This window comes from Homo sapiens, chromosome 13, assembly GCF_000001405.40.
Source record: "Homo sapiens chromosome 13, GRCh38.p14 Primary Assembly".
Taxonomy (NCBI): Eukaryota; Metazoa; Chordata; class Mammalia; order Primates; family Hominidae; genus Homo; species Homo sapiens.
Window position 1 is genome coordinate 28,363,348 of NC_000013.11, and position 20,908 is coordinate 28,384,255.

At 40.3% G+C, this 20,908-nt stretch overlaps 1 protein-coding gene across 2 annotated transcripts in view; it reads right to left on the reverse strand.

Moving 5' to 3' along the window:
• The window catches only part of FLT1 (fms related receptor tyrosine kinase 1), a 194,783-nt gene that overhangs the window by 63,002 nt on the left and 110,873 nt on the right, over positions 1-20,908 (reverse strand). The window contains exon 15 of one of the 2 annotated variants that reach the window (NM_001160030.2): positions 4,745-5,316. The exons of the other annotated variant lie outside the window; for it this stretch is intronic. Coding sequence (NP_001153502.1) covers positions 5,231-5,316 — 86 coding nt within the window. The 3' untranslated portion in view covers positions 4,745-5,230. Of the gene's footprint in view, positions 1-4,744; positions 5,317-20,908 lie in introns of those variants that run through there. 2 annotated transcript variants of the gene reach the window in all.

The following is a 20,908-nucleotide window of genomic DNA, read 5'->3' on the forward strand; positions in this document are numbered from 1 at the left end:
CTGTCTTTAATATGAAATGAGATTTATAGATACTTTATCCCTTCCTTTACCCTCTCTCTCCAGAGGTACCTGAAATTGTACTTTTTCTACATAGTACATGTTTTTGTACTTTTTCCACATGCATGTTTTTGTACTTTTTCTACATAGGTATATATCTGTACAGAATACAGAATATTATTTTGTGTGCTTAAAAATTCTAAATAACAGGTATTATAGATTATATATCCTTTTCAACTTGATTGTTTTCCCATTCAGCAATGCTTTTATATTTATCCTTTTTTTTTTTGAGACGGAGTGTTGCTGTCGCCCAGGCTGGAGTGCAGTGGTGCAATCTCGGTTCACTGCAACCTTTGCCTCCTGGGTTCAAGTGATTCTCCTCTCTCAGCCTCCCAAGTAGCTGGGATTATAGGCGCCCACCACTGCATCTGGCTAATTTTTGTATTTTTGTAGAGACAGGGTTTCACCATGTTGGCTGGTCTTGAACTCCTGACCTCAAGCGATCTGCTGGCCTTGGTCTCCCAAAGTGCTGGGATTACAGGGGTGAACCACTGCTCCCAGCTCATGCTTTTTAATTGATGGCAAAATGATTGATGTGAAATGGTATCTTGCTGTGGTTTTAATCTACATTTCCCTGATTACTAGCTAGGTGAAATATTTTTATTGGCCATTCAGGTTTCTCTTTGTGTGAACTGCCTGTTTCTATCCTTTGCCCATTTTTCTGTTGTCCTATTTGTCTTTTTGTCAACGATTTTAGGGTTCTTTATATGTTTGGGATGCTAATTCTTTGTTGGCTTAATACGTTTCAAGTCTTCCTTCATTGTATGAACAGTCTTTTAAATTTCACTTATGGTAAATTTTTATTTTATTTATTTACTTATTTATTGAGATGAGGTCTCTTTCTATTGCCCAGGCTGGACTGCAGTGGCAAGATCATAGCTCACTGCAGCCTTGAACTCTTGGGCTCAAGTGATCCTCCAGCCTCAGCCTCCTGAGTAGTTGGGATTATAGGCGTAAGCCACAGTCCCTGCCATGGTGAATTTTTAATACAAAGCTTTAAATTTTTTAACATAATCAAATTTGTCAGTATTTTTTATTAACTTTTTGTGCTTTTTGTTATTTAAGAACTCTTTTCCTACCCTGATATCATAAAGAAAGTATACTTTCTTCATAAAATCTGTTTAAGAGATTCATTTACTATTTTGTGTTTTCTTATTTAGGTTTTTAATTGACCTAGATTTTCTTTTGGGGAGGGGTATGTGTATGGTGTGAAGTAAGGACCTAATTTTTACCATATAAATAGCCAATGATCCCAGCATCATTTATTGAATAAGATCTTCTTTTACCACTAAGTCGTTGTGCCAGCTCTGTTCAGATACTATCTGAATTTTTTATGTTGAAGCTCCCATGTATTTGTGTATTTGTGGTTCTGTTTCTAGGCTCTTTATTTATTCACAGTGACCTATTTATCTATCCCTGTACCACATAAGTTAAATTATGATTGCTTGATAACACATCTTGATATCTGGTATGGCCTCACCAGATAGTTTTCAAAATGGTCTTGACTATTCTTGGCCCTTTATACTTCAATACTTTATACTTCAGATTTTGCTTGTCAAATTCTGTAAAAAGCACAATTGGAATGTTTATTGGAATTCCACTGAGTTCATATTATATTATAATTTGGGGGAAATGGTCATATTTATTTTTAGGTGGAACCATATGGAATTGCCAATACTTTGACGTACAAAAATGGCAATATGGTTCTACCAATAAGTGTTTTTATAGAAGAATATTGAGTATCTTTGAGTTATTTAGGTTTTCTTTTATGTCATTTAATAGTTTTATGATTTTCTCTTTAAATATCATGCTTTTCTTTAGTTATATTTATTCCTAGATAGATTTTAATTTTGTTGTTATGCAAAATAGTATTGAGGTCTTTGAGAGGTCACTGTATTTGAATTTTCTCTTTCCTTTTTGGGTATTAGTCTTTAGAACTAACATGTAGAACTCCCTTTTTTTTTTTGAGGCGGAGTCTTGCTCTGTCGCCCAGGCTAGAGTGAAGTGGTGCAATCTCGGCTCACTGCAACCTCTGCTCCCGGACTCAAGGGATTCTCCTGCCTCAGCCTCCCTAGTAGCTGGGATTACAGGTGTGCACCACCAAGCCTGGCTAATTTTTGTATTTTTAGTAGAGATGGGGTTCCACCATGTTGGCCAGGCTGGTCTCGAACTCCTGACCTCAAGTGATTCGCCAACCTTGGCCTCCCAAAATGCTGGGATTACAGGCGTGAGCCACCGTGCTCAGCCAGAACTCACTTATAAACATGATACTCTGCTTTGTGTTTCTGAGATAGTTTAATTGTAGGCCTGCTTGCTTGCTTCTAAAGGATAGCCTAAGTCATTACCATGTGCTTGTTTGTGTATTTCCTTGGCTTCTGACACTAAATACAGATTCTTTAACCACTGAAGCCATAACAATTCCCATGGAAATTCATTATTTATTTCTCTTTACTCTAAGAAGCTGTATCAGATGGACCAACAGGGCATAGAGTAGCATTTGCAAACATAGATGTCTTCAGGAGCCAGGCACGTAATATAAATGAGTTGGGGATAAAATAATGGAAGGGGGACTATGTCTCTGGAGAATAGAAAGCCTGTCTCCCACCTAAAAGCAGAAGCCTTTGCTTAGCTCCAACCTATTGAGAATTTGGGGATTTGAGTCTGGTGTTGTCTTCTGAGTTTTAGAAAGAAGGCAGAAATTTGAATTTTTTTTTTAATGTTAAAGCTCATGATTCTTAAATGTTGGCAACCAGATCAACTTATATAGATCTACTGTGAAGGCCAATAAAAACATGGATGCAAGATATATTTGATGTAACTTAGAGTATGTACATGGGGATAAGCTTTTATGTTGTTACTAAGCAAGGACCTTCATGATCTGGCCCCTTCCTATCTTCCCAGCTTTGCTGCCTGCTGCATCCCTACATGTGTCTTTGGTATGAGCCATGCTAATCTATTTGCAGTTTGTTCTAAGCCTCAGTGACTCTGCACACGTGGTTCCCTTGATGCCTGGTTAACATTTGCTTGTTCTTTAATATTCAGCTCAGGATTAGCTACTCTGGAAAGCATTTTTTTTTTTTTCGAGATGGAGTTTTGCTCTTGTTATCCAGGCTGGAGTGAAATGGCACGATCTCGGCTCACTGCAACCTCCGCCTCCTGGGTTCAAGAGATTCTCTTGCCTCAGCCTCCTGAGTAGCTGGGATTACAGGCGCCTGCCACCACGCCCGGCTAATTTTTTGTATTTTTAGTAGTGGTGGGGTTTCAACATGTTGGCCATGCAGGTCTTGAACTCCTGACCTCAGGTAATCCACCTGCCTGGGCCTCCTAAAGTGCTAGGATTACAGGCGTGAGCCACCACGCCCAGTGGAAAGCATCTTCTGATGCTCTTGGACCCCATCTCTGTTACTCCTGCATCACCCTGTGAATGCCCCTACTCTGGCACTTACCTTTTTGTCATAAAATTGCTGACTTTCTTATCTGCCCACTCCACTGTGGGCTCCTGGAGAATGGTAACTCTAACTTATTCATTCTTGAGTCCCCAGTGTCTAGTGCAGGCCGATAGACAGCTGACCTTCAGTAACTGAGGAAAATGACCACATAAATGAAGACAATGGAAAATGTCATGTAGAGGGTGGAGGAGGGGAGTGAGCTTTGCAATATTTGCGGAATATGATGAAGCTAAGCTAGTTATTAGTGCTAACTCCCTGGGTGGTAGCATAGACTGATGACCTGCAGCATGCCAAGCTCACCTCAGAATTTATAAAATTCTGTCAGTTAATTTTGTCATCTTAAGGTTCAAAAAGCCTCAGTTCCTGGAGCTTAGAATGCAAACTCTGGTGGTTTTATGCGTTTGCTAAAGCATTAGCCCCAAAAGGACAAGTAAAACTTTACACTGGGCTGTTTTTGTAGAAACGTGTGGTGTCCTCTAAAGTATCTGACGATGAAACTCAGTGTGAGGATTTGAATTACTTATTATGTTGGTTGCTAATGGAGGATGTGGATAAGTTTTTGACCATGATGGCCTAATTTATTCATGGGATGTGGTCTAAATTTTCAAGATGTCCAACTGTCAATTTTAAAGGTGTAATTTTCAAGGGACTCTGTAGATAGCTTTATTTCTTCCCATTATACCTTAAGGTGAAGGACAATCTTGGCATTTTATGTGTGAGCACCATATTGCCCAGGGAAGAGCATGGAATATAATTTTAATCCAATTCACCATTGAGTAAATAAATCTGTAGAGCTTTTGAATTCACCTATTTGATTACATAAATGCAGGCCATGTGTTTGCCTCCTGTTCCCCCCCACACACAAAAGTGGCTTGTTGCTCTCCTAAATGGGCCTACTAGTCTGACCAGCAACTTCTGTTTTGTTGCTCAGTTGACTATATGTATTGTTGACTTAGAGAACATTATATTCATCCACTTTGGCCAAACTAATATTCGTCATCAAAACTCTCTTTTTTATTCATCAAAGTCCAATTCAGATGACATCTCCTCCATGAAATCTCCCCTGATTAGTCATCAGAAGTGCTAATTTTTATCTGATGTTATTTTATACCACTCACATTGCACATTTATGAACTGACTTTGTACCTATTATGTTTGTTTTTCAAAGGTGAGGATTATGTGTTGCTTATTTTCATTTTCTCTAGAATATAATAAAGGATCAGGCTCAGAGTAGGCAATTAATGCATGTATGTTAAGTTTAATAGAATAAAAAGTGAATTTTGTCTGTTTATTTATTTATTTATTTATTTGTTTTTTGAGACGGAGTTTCGCTCTTGTTGCCCAGGCTGGAGTGCAGTACACGATCTCGGCTCCCTGCAACCTCTGCCTCCTGGGTTCAAGTGATTCTCCTGTCTCAGCCTCCCGAGTAGCTGGCATTACAGGCATGAGCCACCATGCCTGGCTAATTTTGTATTTTTAATAGAGACAGCATTTCACCATCTTGGTCAGGCTGGTCTTGAACTCCTGACCTCAAATGATCCACCTGCCTTGGCCTCCCAAAGTGCTGGGATTACAGGCGTGAGCCACCATGCCCGGCCATTTGTTATTGTTATGATTGTCTTGGCTCTCCAACTAAAGGATAAGTTCTTTGAAGTTGACACATAATAGTTTTCAATAAATGGTAGCTATGATGATGATGATGATGATGATGATAATGATGATAGCTATGATGATGATGATGATGACGATGATGATGATGATGACAATGGTGATGATGACGATGACGATGGTGACGTTGATGTATACAGTTCTAGGTACACAGTAAATAATCATATCTTTAGATTGGCAGCTTTTTTTTTTTTTTTTTTGAGACAGAGTTTTGCTCTTGTTGCCCAGGCTGGAGTGCAATGGTGCAATCTCTGCGCACTGCAATCTCCACCTTCCGGGTTCAAGCGATTCTTCTGCCTCAGCCTCCTGAGTAGCTGGGATTACAGGTGCCCACCACCATACCCGGCTAATTTTTGTGTTTTTAGTTGAGATGGGGTTTCACCACGTTGGCCAGGCTGGTCTCCAACTCCTGACCTCAGGTGATCCACCAGCCTCAGCCTCCCAAAGTGCTGGGATTACAGGTGTGAGCCACTGTGCCTGGCTAGATTGGCAGCCTTTAATTGATTAGCTAAGAGCAGTGTCCGAACTAAGAACCAGAAGAGCCAAAATATAGAAATGGCTAAAAGTGACCCAGGAAAGCTAGAGGCAAGATGTCAGATTGACTTTCCACAAAGGAGATTTTATATATCCAGTCAAACTTTGGATTTTTGGAAAACTATGTCTGAGGAACATAAATTCAAGTTGAGTAAAATGGCAAAGGCTGACAAAATTGGAAAATGAAGGCCAGGCACGGTGGCTCACGCTTATAGTTCCAACACTTTGGGAGGCCAAGGGGGTCGGATCACCTGAGGTCAGGAATTCAAGACCAGCCTGGCCAACATGGTGAAACTCTGTCTCTACTAAAACTACAAAAATTAGCCAGGCGTGGTGGTGGGCACCTGTAATCCCAGCTACTCACGAGGCTGAGGCAGGAGAATTGCTTGAACCCAGGAGATGGAGGTCGCAGTGAGCCAAGATCATGCCACTGTACTCCAGCATGGATGACAGAACGAGACTCCATCTCCAAAAAAGAAAAGGAAAATGAAAAACGATTAATCCATAAATGACACTAAAAAGATGAGTGATTTCAGTGCTTCTGAATGGTGACCATGTGGTTTCTTCTTTATTGAGAATTTCACCCTAAGATCAAGCCTCATGGCAAAGCCTTTGTGAATGTAAAAAAGAAAAAAAGTTGACGTATGGGATAATTTGAGACACAGTGAAAAGCAGCCTTGCAATAATATGTTAAGCTGGAAGAGAATATGAGAATGTTGCAAAACATAGCGTCTAAAGGAGACTTGATGGCAGTGTAAGCCCTGATAAGACGATTTACGCTTTAGCCATGAAAAAGACAGAGAAAGAACAGGAACACTTAGAAAAGAATAAGACTGGGGACAGTGATGAAAAATGCCATATAGGCCGGGTGCAGTGGCTCATGCCTGTAATTCCAACACTTTGGGAGGTAGAGGCAGGAGGACAGCTTGAGCCCAGGAGTTCAGGACCAGCCTGGGCAACACAGTGAGACTACTGTCTCTATAAAAAATAAAAAAAATTAGCCCGGCATGGTGGCATGTGCCTGTAGTTCCAGCTACTTGGGGAGGTGGGAGAGTTGGGAGGAGGCTGCAGTGAGCCATGGTGACGCCACTGCCTTCCAGCCTGGGCCACAGAGCAAGACCCTGTCTCAAAAAGAAAAAAAAAAAAGCTGTATAATATTCTTCTCACTGTAACCTCTGAATAAGGGAAACACCATAGACAAAGGTCCTTTCATTTGGGATAATGTCTATTCCTTCACTACTTTAACTTACAAAATAGAGTTATGATGGGGGGAGAGGGGAAGGATAGCATTAGGAGATATACCTAATGTTAAATGACGAGTTAATGGGTGCAGCACACCAACATGGCACATGTATACATATGTAACAAACCTGCACGGTGTGCACATGTACCCTAAAACTTAAAGTATAATAAAAAAATGGAGTTATGATAGCAGAATAGTTTCTAAAAGCCTTGAAGAGGCTATAGTTAAAATGAATCCTTTGAAACGGTGCCAAAAACACACGTATTTCTAAATATTTAAAATGAAAGCATCTTTGTGCGCTTTCACTGTGAACTTTGCTCTTGTTCTAATAAAGCATTTCAGGATGATTCAGGCACTTAAAAATGTGTCAAATGGTCCTAACTCTATGGTTATTATCTATATAACCTTAGCTATCAGCTATGTTTATTTGTAAACTGTGAACACATGCATGTAAGTTTGTGCGCACACCCACACACTCCTGTCCCAATTAATCCTTGTGCTATGTTCAGATTGGCCATAGCCTATCCACAAGGTTGGATCCATTAGTCCCGAAGAAGATGGCCAGTCACCTACAGGGCTTTTTTTGTGTGTGATGAAGTAGCGACTCTAATGACCATTTTAAGACAGGAAAATCAGTACTATTGCACTCCATAAGAACTTAGTCAAGAAAGTGTTTTTCTCTCAATAGAGGAGTAGTTACATAAGTTATGGGAATACAAATCATATTACAGTGTATGCCTGCTAAAAAGAGTGGGGTAGAACAATACGTTTTGACATAGAAAGACCTCCAAGATATATCAAGTAATAAAAGCAAGTCTTAAAATGACATATGGTGTGACCTTAACTCAAATTTTATCTCGGAAATGCTGGGTTTCCCATATAAGCCCACTACCAGTCACTCACTGTAATCCATTATCTTATTTTATTTTCATCATAACAGTGATGACCATCAGAACTTATACCATATGCTTATATAGTAGTCCCCCTGTATCTGTGGTTTTAGTTTACCAACGTGCAAAAATATTAAATGGAAAATTCCATAAATAAACAATTTATAAGTTTTAAATTGTACACCATTCTGAGAAGCATGATGAAGTCTCTCGCTGTCTCACTCTGTCCCTCCCAGGATGTGAACCTTCCCTTTGTCCCGCACGCATCTCCACGCTGTAGCTGCTACCCATCTATGAATCCCTTAGGAGCTGGCTGGCCTACCAGATAGATGGTCCCAGTATCACAGTGCTTGTGTTCACAGAACACTTATTTTCCTCAATAATGTGCTCCAAAGCACACGAATAGTGATGAAGCTGTGAAGTACTTCCTTTTAGTTAAAAGGTGAAAGTTCTCAACTTAATAAGAAAACAAAAAAATCATATGCTGAGGTTGGCTAAGATCTATGGTAAGAATGAACCTTCTATCCATGAAATTGGAAAGAAGGAAAAAGAAACCTGAAAAGGCATTTAAGTTTGTGGGTAGAAGGCATGAACAGAGCGTGTTCTGATGGACAGCAATTGGTATAATCTGAGGTGTCAGGCATCCTCTTGGGGTCTTGGAACAGGTCCCCTGTGGATAAGGGGACATGACAGTAGTTTTGTTTGTTAAATTTGTTGCCTGTATTTTCCCATTAGAATGTAAATTCAAGGTCCCTGTTTTGTTCCCAGCACCTAATATGCCTGTCACAAGGTTGACTGTCAGTGAATATCTATTGAATGAATAAATCATTGGTGTGTGTGTGTGTGTGTGTGTGTGTGTGTATATATATATATATATATATATATATATTTTTTTTTTTTTTTTTTTTTTTGAGACAGAGTCTCGCTCTCTTTCCCAAGCTGAACTGCAGTGGAGCCATCTTGGCTCACTGCAACCTCTGCCTCCTGGGTTCAAGCAATCCTCCTAGCTCAGTCTCCTGAGTAGCTGAGACTACAGGCACTTGACACCATGCCTGGCTAATTTTTGTATTTTTAGTAGAGATAGAGTTTCACTATGTTGGCCAAGCTGGTCTTGAACTCCTGACCTCAGGCAATCTGCCTGCCTCAGCCTCCCAAAGTGCTGGGGGATTACAGGCATGAGCCACTGCATCCGGCCATATATTTTTAAAGCCCACATTTGTACATATGCACACGTATAGGTTAAAAAATGGAAAAAACATTGACAAGATACATATCAAACAGTTAATATGTATTACCTCTCCATAAGGGAAATTTGTATAGCTTACTCTATTTCTGTACAGTGGAAATGTATTCATATATTCCTCGTTTAAATAAAATGTATATATATATATATATATATATATATATATATATAGCTGGGTGCAGTGGCTCATGCCTGTAATCCCAGCACTTTGGGAGGCCAAGGTGGGCAGATCACGAGGTCAAGAGATTGAGACCATCCTGGCCAACATGGTGAAACCCCGTCTCTACTAAAAATACAAAAGTTAGCTGGGCATGGTGGTGCGGGCCTGTAGTCTCAGCTACTTGGAAGGCTGAGGCAGGAGAATCGCTTGAACCCAGGAGGCGGAGCTTGCAGTGAGCAGAGATCATGCCACTGCACTCCAGCTTGGCAACAGAGTGAGACTCTGTCTCAAAAATAAATAAATAAATAAAATAAAAATGAAACATTAAGACATGAAACTGTAGCCCTTTTTACCTCTTTCTCAGTGGCAAAGAGCCATTAAATGAAAAGTTTAAAAGCTATATGAGTTCAAATACTTAAACATTGCAAAACTTTGTAATATTGACTATGTTAGAATGAGTGAGTGAATGTTTTTGAGGCAAGAAAAGTCGATTTATATTTTATGACAATTTACAATTTTAGATTAAGGCAATAAAAGGACAAATCAAAACCCATTCAGTCAGAAGACTGTCCCACCGTGTGGAGGTGGGGGAGGGAACGTGATATAGAGTATGTTTTCTGCACTTCATTTTGTTTCTCAGTGATGCTCAGTTTAATTATGACTGAGTTGTATGAGATGGCTACTTAAACTAATATACAGTCTTGATTGTTTAAGTCTCCTTGGTAGCAGGAGATTATATAAAAATCAGGTTTATCATTTGAATGGGGAGGTGAACTTTCTTGACTTTGATTTTTTTCAGCAGCAATTTAGAGTCGTGGACTGAGTTCACTGACTAGTTATCTGAGAGTATATTTGTTTGCATATTTTCCTTAATTGAATTGGGCATAGTGGTGACCCCAGTTGCATTGCTGTGTATGTGCCACTTTAGGTCCTGATTAAACTGTCTGAAGTTTATGCTTGAGGGGAGGAGAGATTTCCATGCAGATTCTAGACATGTAAAATGGAAAAAGTCCATCTAATTATTTTGCAAAAACATGAAAGCATGAAAGCATGTTTAAGGGAGTGTATGAGTTTTCCTTCTGTAGTCATCCAATCTTTAGTGTAGGGAGGAATTTGTTGATTAGGGATTGAGATCCCTCTCACTCTAAGAGCCCAGGCACTGGCTCTTAGTTTTGGGGTTAGTGTCTTTGGACAGAGTACAGCCTCTGAGAGATCTCTGGGATGACTGCTGGGAGAGTTTACCACCCCCACTAACCCCTCGATGTCCCCAAATCTCTTTGTATCTCTTCTCTTTGTTTTTCTTCATGCCCCATTTCTTTTTCCCAGCCATTGACTGCTCTTCAGACAAAATTTGCTGCTGATCTTGGCCATGTTCAAAGTACATTTCCGTGTGTTGCAAGAGGTCACAGAGAGAATCAAAAGAGGAGGTTAATTCATAGTCAAAAAAGGAGAAGCTTTAATGGGCATGGGATTTCCGATTGGGGTTATGAAAAAGTTCTGTAACTAGATAGTGGTGATGGTTTTGCAACATTGTAAATGTACTTAGTGCCACTTAATTGTACACTTTAAAATGGTTAAAATGATAAAATTTATGTTATGTGCATTTTGCCACAATTTAAAAAAATGAGGCCTGGGCAACATAGAAAGACCACCATCTCTACAAAAGAAAAAAAAATAGCTGGGTATGGTGGCATGTGACTATAGTCCCAGCTATGCAGGAGGCTGAGGTGAGAGGATCACCTGAGCCCGGGAGGTTGAGGCTGCAGTGAGCCACGATCATGTCACTGCACTCCAGCCTGGGAAACAGAGCAAGACCATGTCTCAAAAAACAAACAAAAAACAAAACAAAATATAAAGAAAAAACCCAAAAAAACCCTTTTTCTAAAGTGATGCCCACATTTACAAGTTCTCTCCTATTTCTTTTCTTTTTTTTTTATTGAGATGGAGTCTCGCTCTGTCGCCCAGGCTGGAGTACAGTGGCGCGATCTTGGCTCACTGCAACCTCCACCTCCCAGGTTCATGCCATTCTCCTGCCTCAGCCTCCCGAGTAGCTGCGACTACAGGCGCCCACTACCATGCCCAGCTAATTTTTTCTGTATTTTTAGTAGAGACAGGGTTTCACCGTGTTAGCCAGGATGGTCTCGATCTCCTGACCTTGTGATCCGCCCACCTCGGCCTCCCAAAGTGCTGAGATTACAGTTGTGAGCCACCGTGCCCGGCCCTCCTATTTCTTATGTCCTAAATTTTTCATTTAAAAATTTAATAGGACCTAACACACACAAACAAACACACACACACCCCACCACCACTACCACCACCACTAAACTTAAACAACTAGCAGGGGGCCCTGCTATTCATACGAATAGATGTTTGTGTTGACCAATGCATGATCCCTCAGTTGGACCTTACTGTGGCCAGCAGCTTTCAGGAGGCTTTTCTGGGCTGAATAGAGATGAGGATGTTATGCTGTAAAATGCATCCAGGAAATTTTCTTTAGGCAAAGCTTTAGGATAGGATATATTGCTATGTATGTGTGTGTATACCTATGCATGTAGGTGCAAGACCTAAATCACCTGAATCTTGCCAATAAAAAGAGATACTTTGGGGCTGACTGATTCTTCATAAATAGCTTCTATTGCTTTCCAATTCAAAATGGAACTTTACTCATGGATTACTTTACTTTTCTGAATATAAATTATAGAACTCTACCACTGTACTTTTCAATCTCATTGAACTAGCCAAACATTAACAAGTAATTGCAGAATTGCAGAAAGCGCATAAAGCAACATTTTCAATTTTTTTTTTTTTGCCATGATAGGGCTGTGTTAAAGTCAGGTTCCCTCTGTTGGCTGAGATGAGTGTTGTAGGTCTGAACTTTGGCAATGTCAACAGGTTAGTTTTCGCATGCTGTTACCCCACTACCTCTCTTACTTCATTACTCTCCTTTCTTCTACCTCCTAAAAGAACTTTATCCTTGGAAAAGAACTGAGCCTTGATTCTGCAACATAGTCCTGGCAGGGAAGAAGAGCTACTTGCATATCAGCAGTGAAGCTTGGTTTTCCTTGATCTGGATGTAGAGAGCCCCTGACCTTAATGACACATATTGAAGAGACAGGGCTAGCGAGAACAGCTGCTTAGCTAATCACACCAGCAGATCAGCTCTGGTCTCAGGGGTGCTAAGTAGAGCAGCCAGCTCACCCTCACAGGCACTGCTCTGCGCACACCCTGGATATCTTGTTCACATTTCTTTTCTGCAATAATAGTTCTTCATTCATTGTGTACCGTAAGGATAGATTTCATGAGAAGGAAAAGGCAACTACAACTCAAGTTTTGCAAAAGATATTTGACATTTCTGAATTTCATTAAGGAATTTGATTAAGGAATCAAGCAAAACTGCTGATTCTAGTAGCCTGAGCGTGACAGATGGTCAGTTTTTCATCCCTGGGTATTAACAGCCTCATTCCTCTCTCTCTTCTAAGGTTCCTTAAGATCTTTCCTGGATCTAGTCAAATCACTTGATAATTCAGAGGTGATTCTGTCCTCTTAGGTACTAGGATCTGAATATGGTGCCTACAGATGCAGACATTTGGTGTCAGTGATATAGTGTGACAGGAAAGATGTCCTCTAACAGTTAGATAAACACTTAGTCCTAGTGATCAAGAAGATTTCATTTAAGAAGGAGTATTAATCATTGGGTTAGAGTGATTCTCTCCTGCTCCACCCTCAGTCTGTTTAAGACAGAATTTACTCTTTCTGAACTCTTTGTTGTTCTAATACTACTGCTTTAACCTTAAAATATTCTAAAAATGTTTTGCTATCATAAAAATTTAGCTTAAATAATAGTTTGATGATGGTTTATTGGTTCAGGCAGGCTTTACTAAGAACATCTAAGATCAAGATTGCCTTCTGTTTTCTCAAATATTTCCAGAGAGGGAGGGTTTGTTACTTTTTTCAGCCTTTTAATGACTCTTTCAGAGCACAATCACTTGTGAGATGGTTTGTGCCTGTGTCAGTGCAAACCTAAACTAGATAGGCCTTCTGCCATATATTCTTGGCCAACTTATGTTACTTCCTTACAGTGCCACTGTGAAGAGGGTTGCCAGTAGCCCCTCTTGCAGCACCTGCTCAGCAATGTCATAACTTGAAATATTTTACGACCTCATTGGAGAACCTGGGAAGAGGGTAAGGTAGAAAGGAGACTTTTTGATTATTTTGGAGAGCTGCCAGTCCTTTAGGCGGGTGGCCTGAAGAGGGAGTAAAGACACTCAGGGTCAAGGGTTCTCCAAGGTGACACTGTACCATTGTTCCAAGTCTGGTTTGCAAACCTTAAATATTTTTAGCCCAACAGAAAGAAATGTTTCTAAAAGGAGCTTTGCTGTCCATGTACCCCTAGGAATCAGACCATACTCAAAGCAACTACTGTCAAACAGGATTCATCTCTGACTTTGAACTCTTGTGTGGTGCTTCTTGGTATTAGTCCCTTCACACTGCATTTTCCTCTCTTATCTCTGGCTCTCTGTATTATATTCACTTCAGCTTGTCTACTCTCTTTTCACCTGCCTCTTCAAAGTAAATAGGTCTTAAATTACCTTCATCTTTCAACACTTTGCACCACATCAGTCCCTTCTAAGAGTTCCCAGTTGCTTCTTTACTCAGTTCTAATTTGGAGCCCCTACTAATTTCCCCTTATCTCTTCCTCCTTTCTGTATATACAGCTAACAACAATTGAGAACTTATTGTATGCACAGCATGAACATAGGAAAATTAAAGCACAAAGGGTGTATCTTTTCAGCTATCCAATGTATTAAAGATATTTTGATACCATGATTGAGCCATAGAATTTTTCTGATTGCCCATTTATTAATTTGCCTTATTCCATTTTTAGACCAATTGACACGATAATAGCGAATAAGGCAGGACACACAGGGTTGTTGCTTGAAGAAGCGTATTTCAGGTAAATACATGCATCACTTAATTACTCTAGATTTTTGGTTCTTCAGATTTCAGTTTTCTTGTTCACTGCTGTATTTGCAGAGCCTAGCGCAGTGCCAGACACAAAGCAGTGACTTATAAATATTTGTTAAATAAGTAAATATATGAGTATTAGGCTGATAGGACATGCATTCTGGACCTTTACAACTTAAAAGTAACACCCAATCTGAGTTCAAAATAATTTTAAACTTTATACATGTCTAGTTTTTTAAAAATGCTTTATGTGTTTTTAATATGCTTTAAAAATGTTTCAAAACATGCTTTAAAGAAACCAAAGTCTTCAAGAGACTTAATCTTTAATTTACCTTATATCTTAAAAGTAACCCCCAATCTGGGTTCAGAATAATGTTTACCTTTATACATGGCATGTCTAGTTTTTAAAAAAAATGCTTTATGTGATTTTAATATGCTTTTAAAATGTTTCAAAACATGCTTTAAATAAACTGAAGTCTTCAAGAGACTTAATCTTTTTTTTTTTTTTTTTGAGTTGGAGTCTTGCTCTGTTGCCAGGCTGGAGTGCAGTGGCGTGATCTCGGCTCACTGCAACCTTCGCCTCCCGGGTTCAAGAGATTCTCCTGCCTCAGGCTCCTGAGTAGCTGGGGCTATCAGCATGCGCCACCATGCCCAACTAATTTTTGTATTTTTAGTAGAGACGAGGTTTCACCATGTTGGCCAGGATGGTCTCGATCTCTTGACCTCATGATCAGCCTGCCTCAGCCTCCCAAAGTGCTGGGATTACAGGCATGAGCCAGCGTGCCTGACCGAGACTTAATCTTTAAGGGCTGAGAATGAGCAGATATTCATTGTTTTAAATACATGTTTATTGGTGCCCACTATATCATTTAAAACTGATGCTCATTTGTTCTCTTGTGAGTGAGGTGAGCTAACATTTAGTTATGCTCAATGCTAAATGCCCATATGTTCAGTGTGCAGAGTGCAGGCTTCAGAGTCAAATTCTTCTGGTCTGAACCTTGGAGGGCTACTCACTAACTCTATGACCTGGGACCAGTTATTTTTCCTCTCTATGTCTCAGCTTCCTCATCCATTAGTCTGTAAAACGGTCAGAATCATTCAGCAAACCTCACAGAATTGTAATGAAAAGCAAACAAATTAGCATTAGGTAAGTTCTAAAGCAGCAGCAGAAACCTCGCAGGTGCTTGTTAAGTAAAACAGATCTGTGGAATGTATCTAATAATGTCCCTACCTCAAAGGATAGTTGTGAAAATTAAATGAGTTATCTCCAAAACACTTAACACGGTGCCTTGGTACCTGGTAAACGCTCAATAAATCTTATATTGCTATGTTTAATAGAGAAGACATATTAAGATATTATAAAATAAACACATGTAACACCAGAGAACAATGAAGTGATGTGCTCAATGACATGAGTTGTAAATAAACCTAGACATCAGAAAAAAGGAAGAATCACTTCCCTGGAAGGTGAGAGAAGATCTTTCACGACATCAAGAATTAGTGGGGCTGGGCGTGTTGGCTCTCACCTGTAATCCCAGCACTTTGGGAGGCTGAGGCAGGCAGATCACTTGAGGTCAGGAGTTCAAGACCAGCCTGGCCAACATGGTGAAACCCTGTTTCTACTAAAAATGCAAAAATTAGCCTGGCGTTGTGGCATGCACCTGCAATCCCAGCTATTCAGGAGGCTGAAGCACCAGAACCTGGGAGGCGGAGTTTGCAGTGAGCCAAGATTGTGCCACTGCACTCCAGCTTGAGCGACAGCGCAAGACTCCATCTCAAAAAAAACAAAACAAAACAAAAAAGCATTAGTGGGAGGAGAATAACGTAGTGAGAGGAAAGAGAATTTTTCAGGCAAGAACTGAAGGCAGCCCATGGCCCAGAGGACCGAAGGGAGAAGAGGAGAAAGGAAAAAGTGAGGAAGAGTGGTGTCAGGGCGCAGCAGGAAGTTAGTGCTAACGAGCTGGATGGGGCCAAGCAATCGAAGCCCTGAGAAGCCTGACAGCGGTGCTGGGAGTTGGGCACGCGCAGCAGACAGCATGCCAACCCCGAGGTACTCAGGCAGTGTGGTGTGCAAGGCCCTGTCTCTTCTTGTTTGGGTTGCCCTGGCCAAGATTGTCTCTTGCAATCCGTTCACATGCGTTCCAGGGCCTGCATGCTTAAGATCCCTTTTATTCCTGCTTGATGCCCTTTGGCTCAAGAATTTACTACTCAGCTTTTATAACACTTTCTTAAAACTGCCTTTCTTCTGGTGAATGGCTGTGCCCCACTGACAGTTTTTTCCTGAAAGGAAATGATAAGGGAGGAAAAAGCTCCAACTACCCCAAGTAGGCATTTTATAGGCGCTTGTACAAAGCTTGAGCCCTTGTGTGTGCCTCACTTCCTCTCTAATATTTTCTTTGGAATGGGAGCAAGTCATCATTTAAAAAATAACAATGATAATGGACTGGATCCTATCAATGATCCAAGGTCACTAAAATTCTCTTGCTATATCAATCCTTTTTGAGCTGCCAGGCTTCATCTAAAAGGTGCACCTCAAGTATCTAAAGGACACACAGTTTATTTTCAGGGTTTTAAAACTCAGTCAAGCTGGCTAAAGGCTGAGTATATAACAAACTACTTTTCAGTCTTTGCAGGCCATGATCTTAATACTCTTCCATTTCAGTTTTGCAACAATTGGCGAATCAGGGATTATCACTTTGGTTACCTTTATTCATAGGTTTACAAAAAGAAATAGTCATAAAAGAGTTGGCAGTTTTGAAGATACTCATATATACAAACATAAGGGTCATCGTCATGGAGCATATTGCATTGGCTATTGCATTTGCTCCTGAAATGGGAATATTACGTATGGAACTTTACAGAAACTATATACATGGGGAAGATTATCTCCAGAAAATTAAGAAAGCCCTTTCCTAAAGGCTATAGTGGTTTTACAGAGTGAATAAAAGGAAGCGAGAGAAAGAAAATTGCTGACTTGGTATAGCTGAACTTAATAAGTGCTAAATTGCTAAATAGTAGCATCCTAGAATGATATTTATAGAATATTTTGTGTAAGACTTTATATGACCTGTTTTTAGATATTATTCTTTTGGTTTGGCCCTCAGAAGATCAGAGAAAGCTGGGTGGTGGAGGGGTGGTGGGGGGAGAATCTGTATTATTTTGTTTTAGGGTTGTTTGACATTTGAGCTTATTAATTAACTCTGATGCCTTCCAGTGAATTCTGCCAACTCACTGGACAATTTCTGTATAAATGAGGTGGGTCAGAAGGCAGCATTGAACAAGCCAAGACTATGGGCCAGCTTACGTTAACTCATTTAAACCTTACCATATCCCTGTGTGGTCAGAATTATCCCAATTTTATAAATAGGGGAAAAAGGGCTCCGAGAGTAAGGAATAATGAGTTGCCCAAATTCTTATATGACTCATGAGGGCCATGCTAGGACTCAAGCCCTGATCTCCCCAGCACACTGGACTCTTTTTTTGCATGTGGTAGCTGCTGAGACACATTCTCTTGCCTTGTCTCTCCTCTAGTCTCATAATGGTTCTAAGCTTCCCAAATCATTTTAACTCTGATTCTTTAACCCACTTCCAAATTATAAAAACTGAACTTATTTCACATTTACTTCTTTCAAAGAATCACTCAACATCCTACACTAATCTTTCATAAAATGGATTTTGTGATCAAGTAAGTTTGAGGAATACAGAACTTAGCACAGTTGGCCCTGTGCGGTGGGTCACACCTGTAATCCCAGCAATTTGGGAGGTCAAGGTGGGTGGATCACTTGAGGTCAGGAGTTTGAGACCAGCTTGGCCAACATGGTGAAACCCCCATCTCTACTAAAAATACAAAAAATTAACCAGGCATGGTGGCAGATGTCTGTAATCCCAGCTACTCAGAAGGCTGAGTCAGGAGAATCACTTGAACACAGGAGATGGAGGTTGCAGTGAGCCAAGATCATGCCACTGCACTCCAGCCTGGGCGACAGAGCAAGACTCCATCTCAAAAACAAACAAACAAACAAAACAAAAACAAAAAAACTTAGTACAGTTTACCAATTTCTTTCACAAGCTATTTATTCATGTATTTATTCATCCTTTTATTCTGGGAGAACCTCTCAAGGGACTAGCTTTCCACAAAACTACCCATCTTGGTAGTGTGTCATCTTAGGCAAATCACTTTACCTCTTTGAGCCTAAGTTTTCCATTCTACATGTTAGACTAAAGATACTCTAAAGGTCCCTTGAGCTTTAAAACTTCCATGATATGGGCCCCACCCCCATGCCAAATCGAGGCTTTTGTGCTACCACTATGAGTTTGCTAAGGATAGCCTAAGATTTTCTGAAAACCATTTATTCATTCATTCATGGAACATTTATTTATTAATTGTCAAGTACTGTGTTAGGTTCTGAAGATGAAAAGACAAGACATAAATAAGACAAATAAGATAAACTATCTATCTGCCCTCTGGAGGGGAGACATATATGAACTGGTGATTTAAAAAAATACATAAGAGAGGAGTAGAAATATGCATAGGTAATACTGACACACATGAACTGATGATTTTTAAAAGTCTCAGCAAGAGAGAAGTAGAAACAGTTATAAGTAATAAAGACTCACGGAGGATCTGCCTCCTATTTGTGGGAGTTGTGTAAGGCCTAGTTGGAGAGAGAACACCCAATCTGGGTCTTAAGGGATGCGACAAAGGAAGGGAAGGTACTCCAGGCGGAGAGTAAACAGGAACCAAAGAAAGCATAGGGAGTTTAAACAGCATAATGTCTGCAGTGATCTACCAGAGTTTGGCACTGCTGGAATATAAAGTTATAAAATTCAAGTCAGGCGACTCTGAGCATAACGTCGTAGGAGTAGGCAGGGGCTAGATATTGAGGGCATTCTCTGTCAGATTCTTGAACTTCATCGAAGTGTGTTAGGGTTGAAGAGTTGGAGCCGGTGGAAGACTTGAAGCAGGGAAGTGACATGTTCACAGCTGCATTTTATACTGTTGTGTTGAAAGTAGATGCAAAGAGAGATAGGGAGACAAGTTTGGAGACCACTGAAGGTGTTCAGAGGCTAGGTAATGAGTGTCTGGACCGAGAGAATAATGGGGAAGCAGAGAAAGGAATGGATTTGAGAAATATTTAGTATTTAGTAGGTGTAATCTGCTCAGTCTGGTGATTGATTAGATGAAGAGGGCAAAGGAGAGACCATCACCTTCTAGTTTGGATGATTAAATATTTGATGTCAGTATAAGAGGAGGTGCTACTTTATGGAGAAAAATGAAGTGATGTGATTGGTTTTGAACCTGCTGAGTGTAAGGTCTCTCTAAGACATTTGCAGATATCTTAAAATTTGGAGTTGTTATACCACAACCCCATTCTGTGCATCAAACTCAAATGGAGGTTTCATTTTGTGTAGAGGACTTACATTTAAGGACTACTCCATATTGCTGTTTATTTGATTTAGATTGTTGGAATATTGGAAATAAATGGCAATTTTATTTTTAATAAAATATGAATATCAATTAAAATCATAAATAATTTCATTGTACTCTTATTTAACCACAGATTTATGAAGCAGGCAATAGACAGTGTTTATACTTATTGGTTTAAGTCTCGTTGTTTTTAAGAGTACAGTCAGCCCACAGCGAGACTCCATCTCAAAAAAAAAAAGTACAGTCAGCCTTCTGTATATGTGGATCTGCATCTGTGAATTCAACAAAAAAATTCCACAAGTTCCAAAAACCAAAGAACTTTTCACGCACCAAGTACTACATTGAGTTCACATGAAATGATGTGTAGGTATTGTATCAGGTATTAAAAGTAACCTAGAGCCGGGTGTGGTGGCTCATGCCTGTAATCCCAGCACTTTGGGAGGCTGAGGCAGGCGGATCACAAGGTCAGGAGATCAAGACCATCCTGGCCAACATGATGAAACCCCATCTCTACTAAAAATACAAAAAATTAGCCAGGCGTGGTGGCGGGCACCTGTAGTCCCAGCTACTCGGGAGGCTGAGTCAGGAGAATGGCGTGACCTGGGTGGTAGAGCTTGCAGTGAGCTGAGAGCGCACCACTGCACTCCAGCCTGGGCGACAGAGCGAGACTCTGTCTCAATTTAAAAAAAAAAAAATTAGCTGGGTGTGGCGGCGGGCACCTGTAATCCCAGCCACTTGAGAGGCCGAGGCATGACAATCGCTTGAACCCAGGAGGTGGAGGCTGCAGTGAGCTGAGTGAGATCGTGCCACTGCACTCCAGCCTGGTGACAGAGTGAGACTGTCTCAAAAAACAAACAAACAAACAAAAAAAGTAACCTAGAGATGATTAAAGTATGCAGGAAGGTATGTGTAGGTTATATGCAAATACCATGTCATACCATTTTATATAAGGAACTTGAGCATCAGTGCATTTTGGAATCTGCAGAAGGTGCTGGAACCAATTTCCCACGGATCCCATGGCACTATATGTATTGTTGAAAGAAAATAAACCTATACCCACTGGTGTAGATTTATGTTTTTTACTAGTATGATCAAACACAATTTAAAAAGTTTTCTTTTTACCAAATCCTTAACATCTGCGTAGATGAATTTAAAAGATTATAAACTGGCCAGACGCAGTGGCATGCGCCTATAATCCCAGCACTTTGGGAGGCCAAGGCAGGTGGATTACCTGAGGTCAGGAGTTTGAGACCAGCCTGGCCAACATGGTG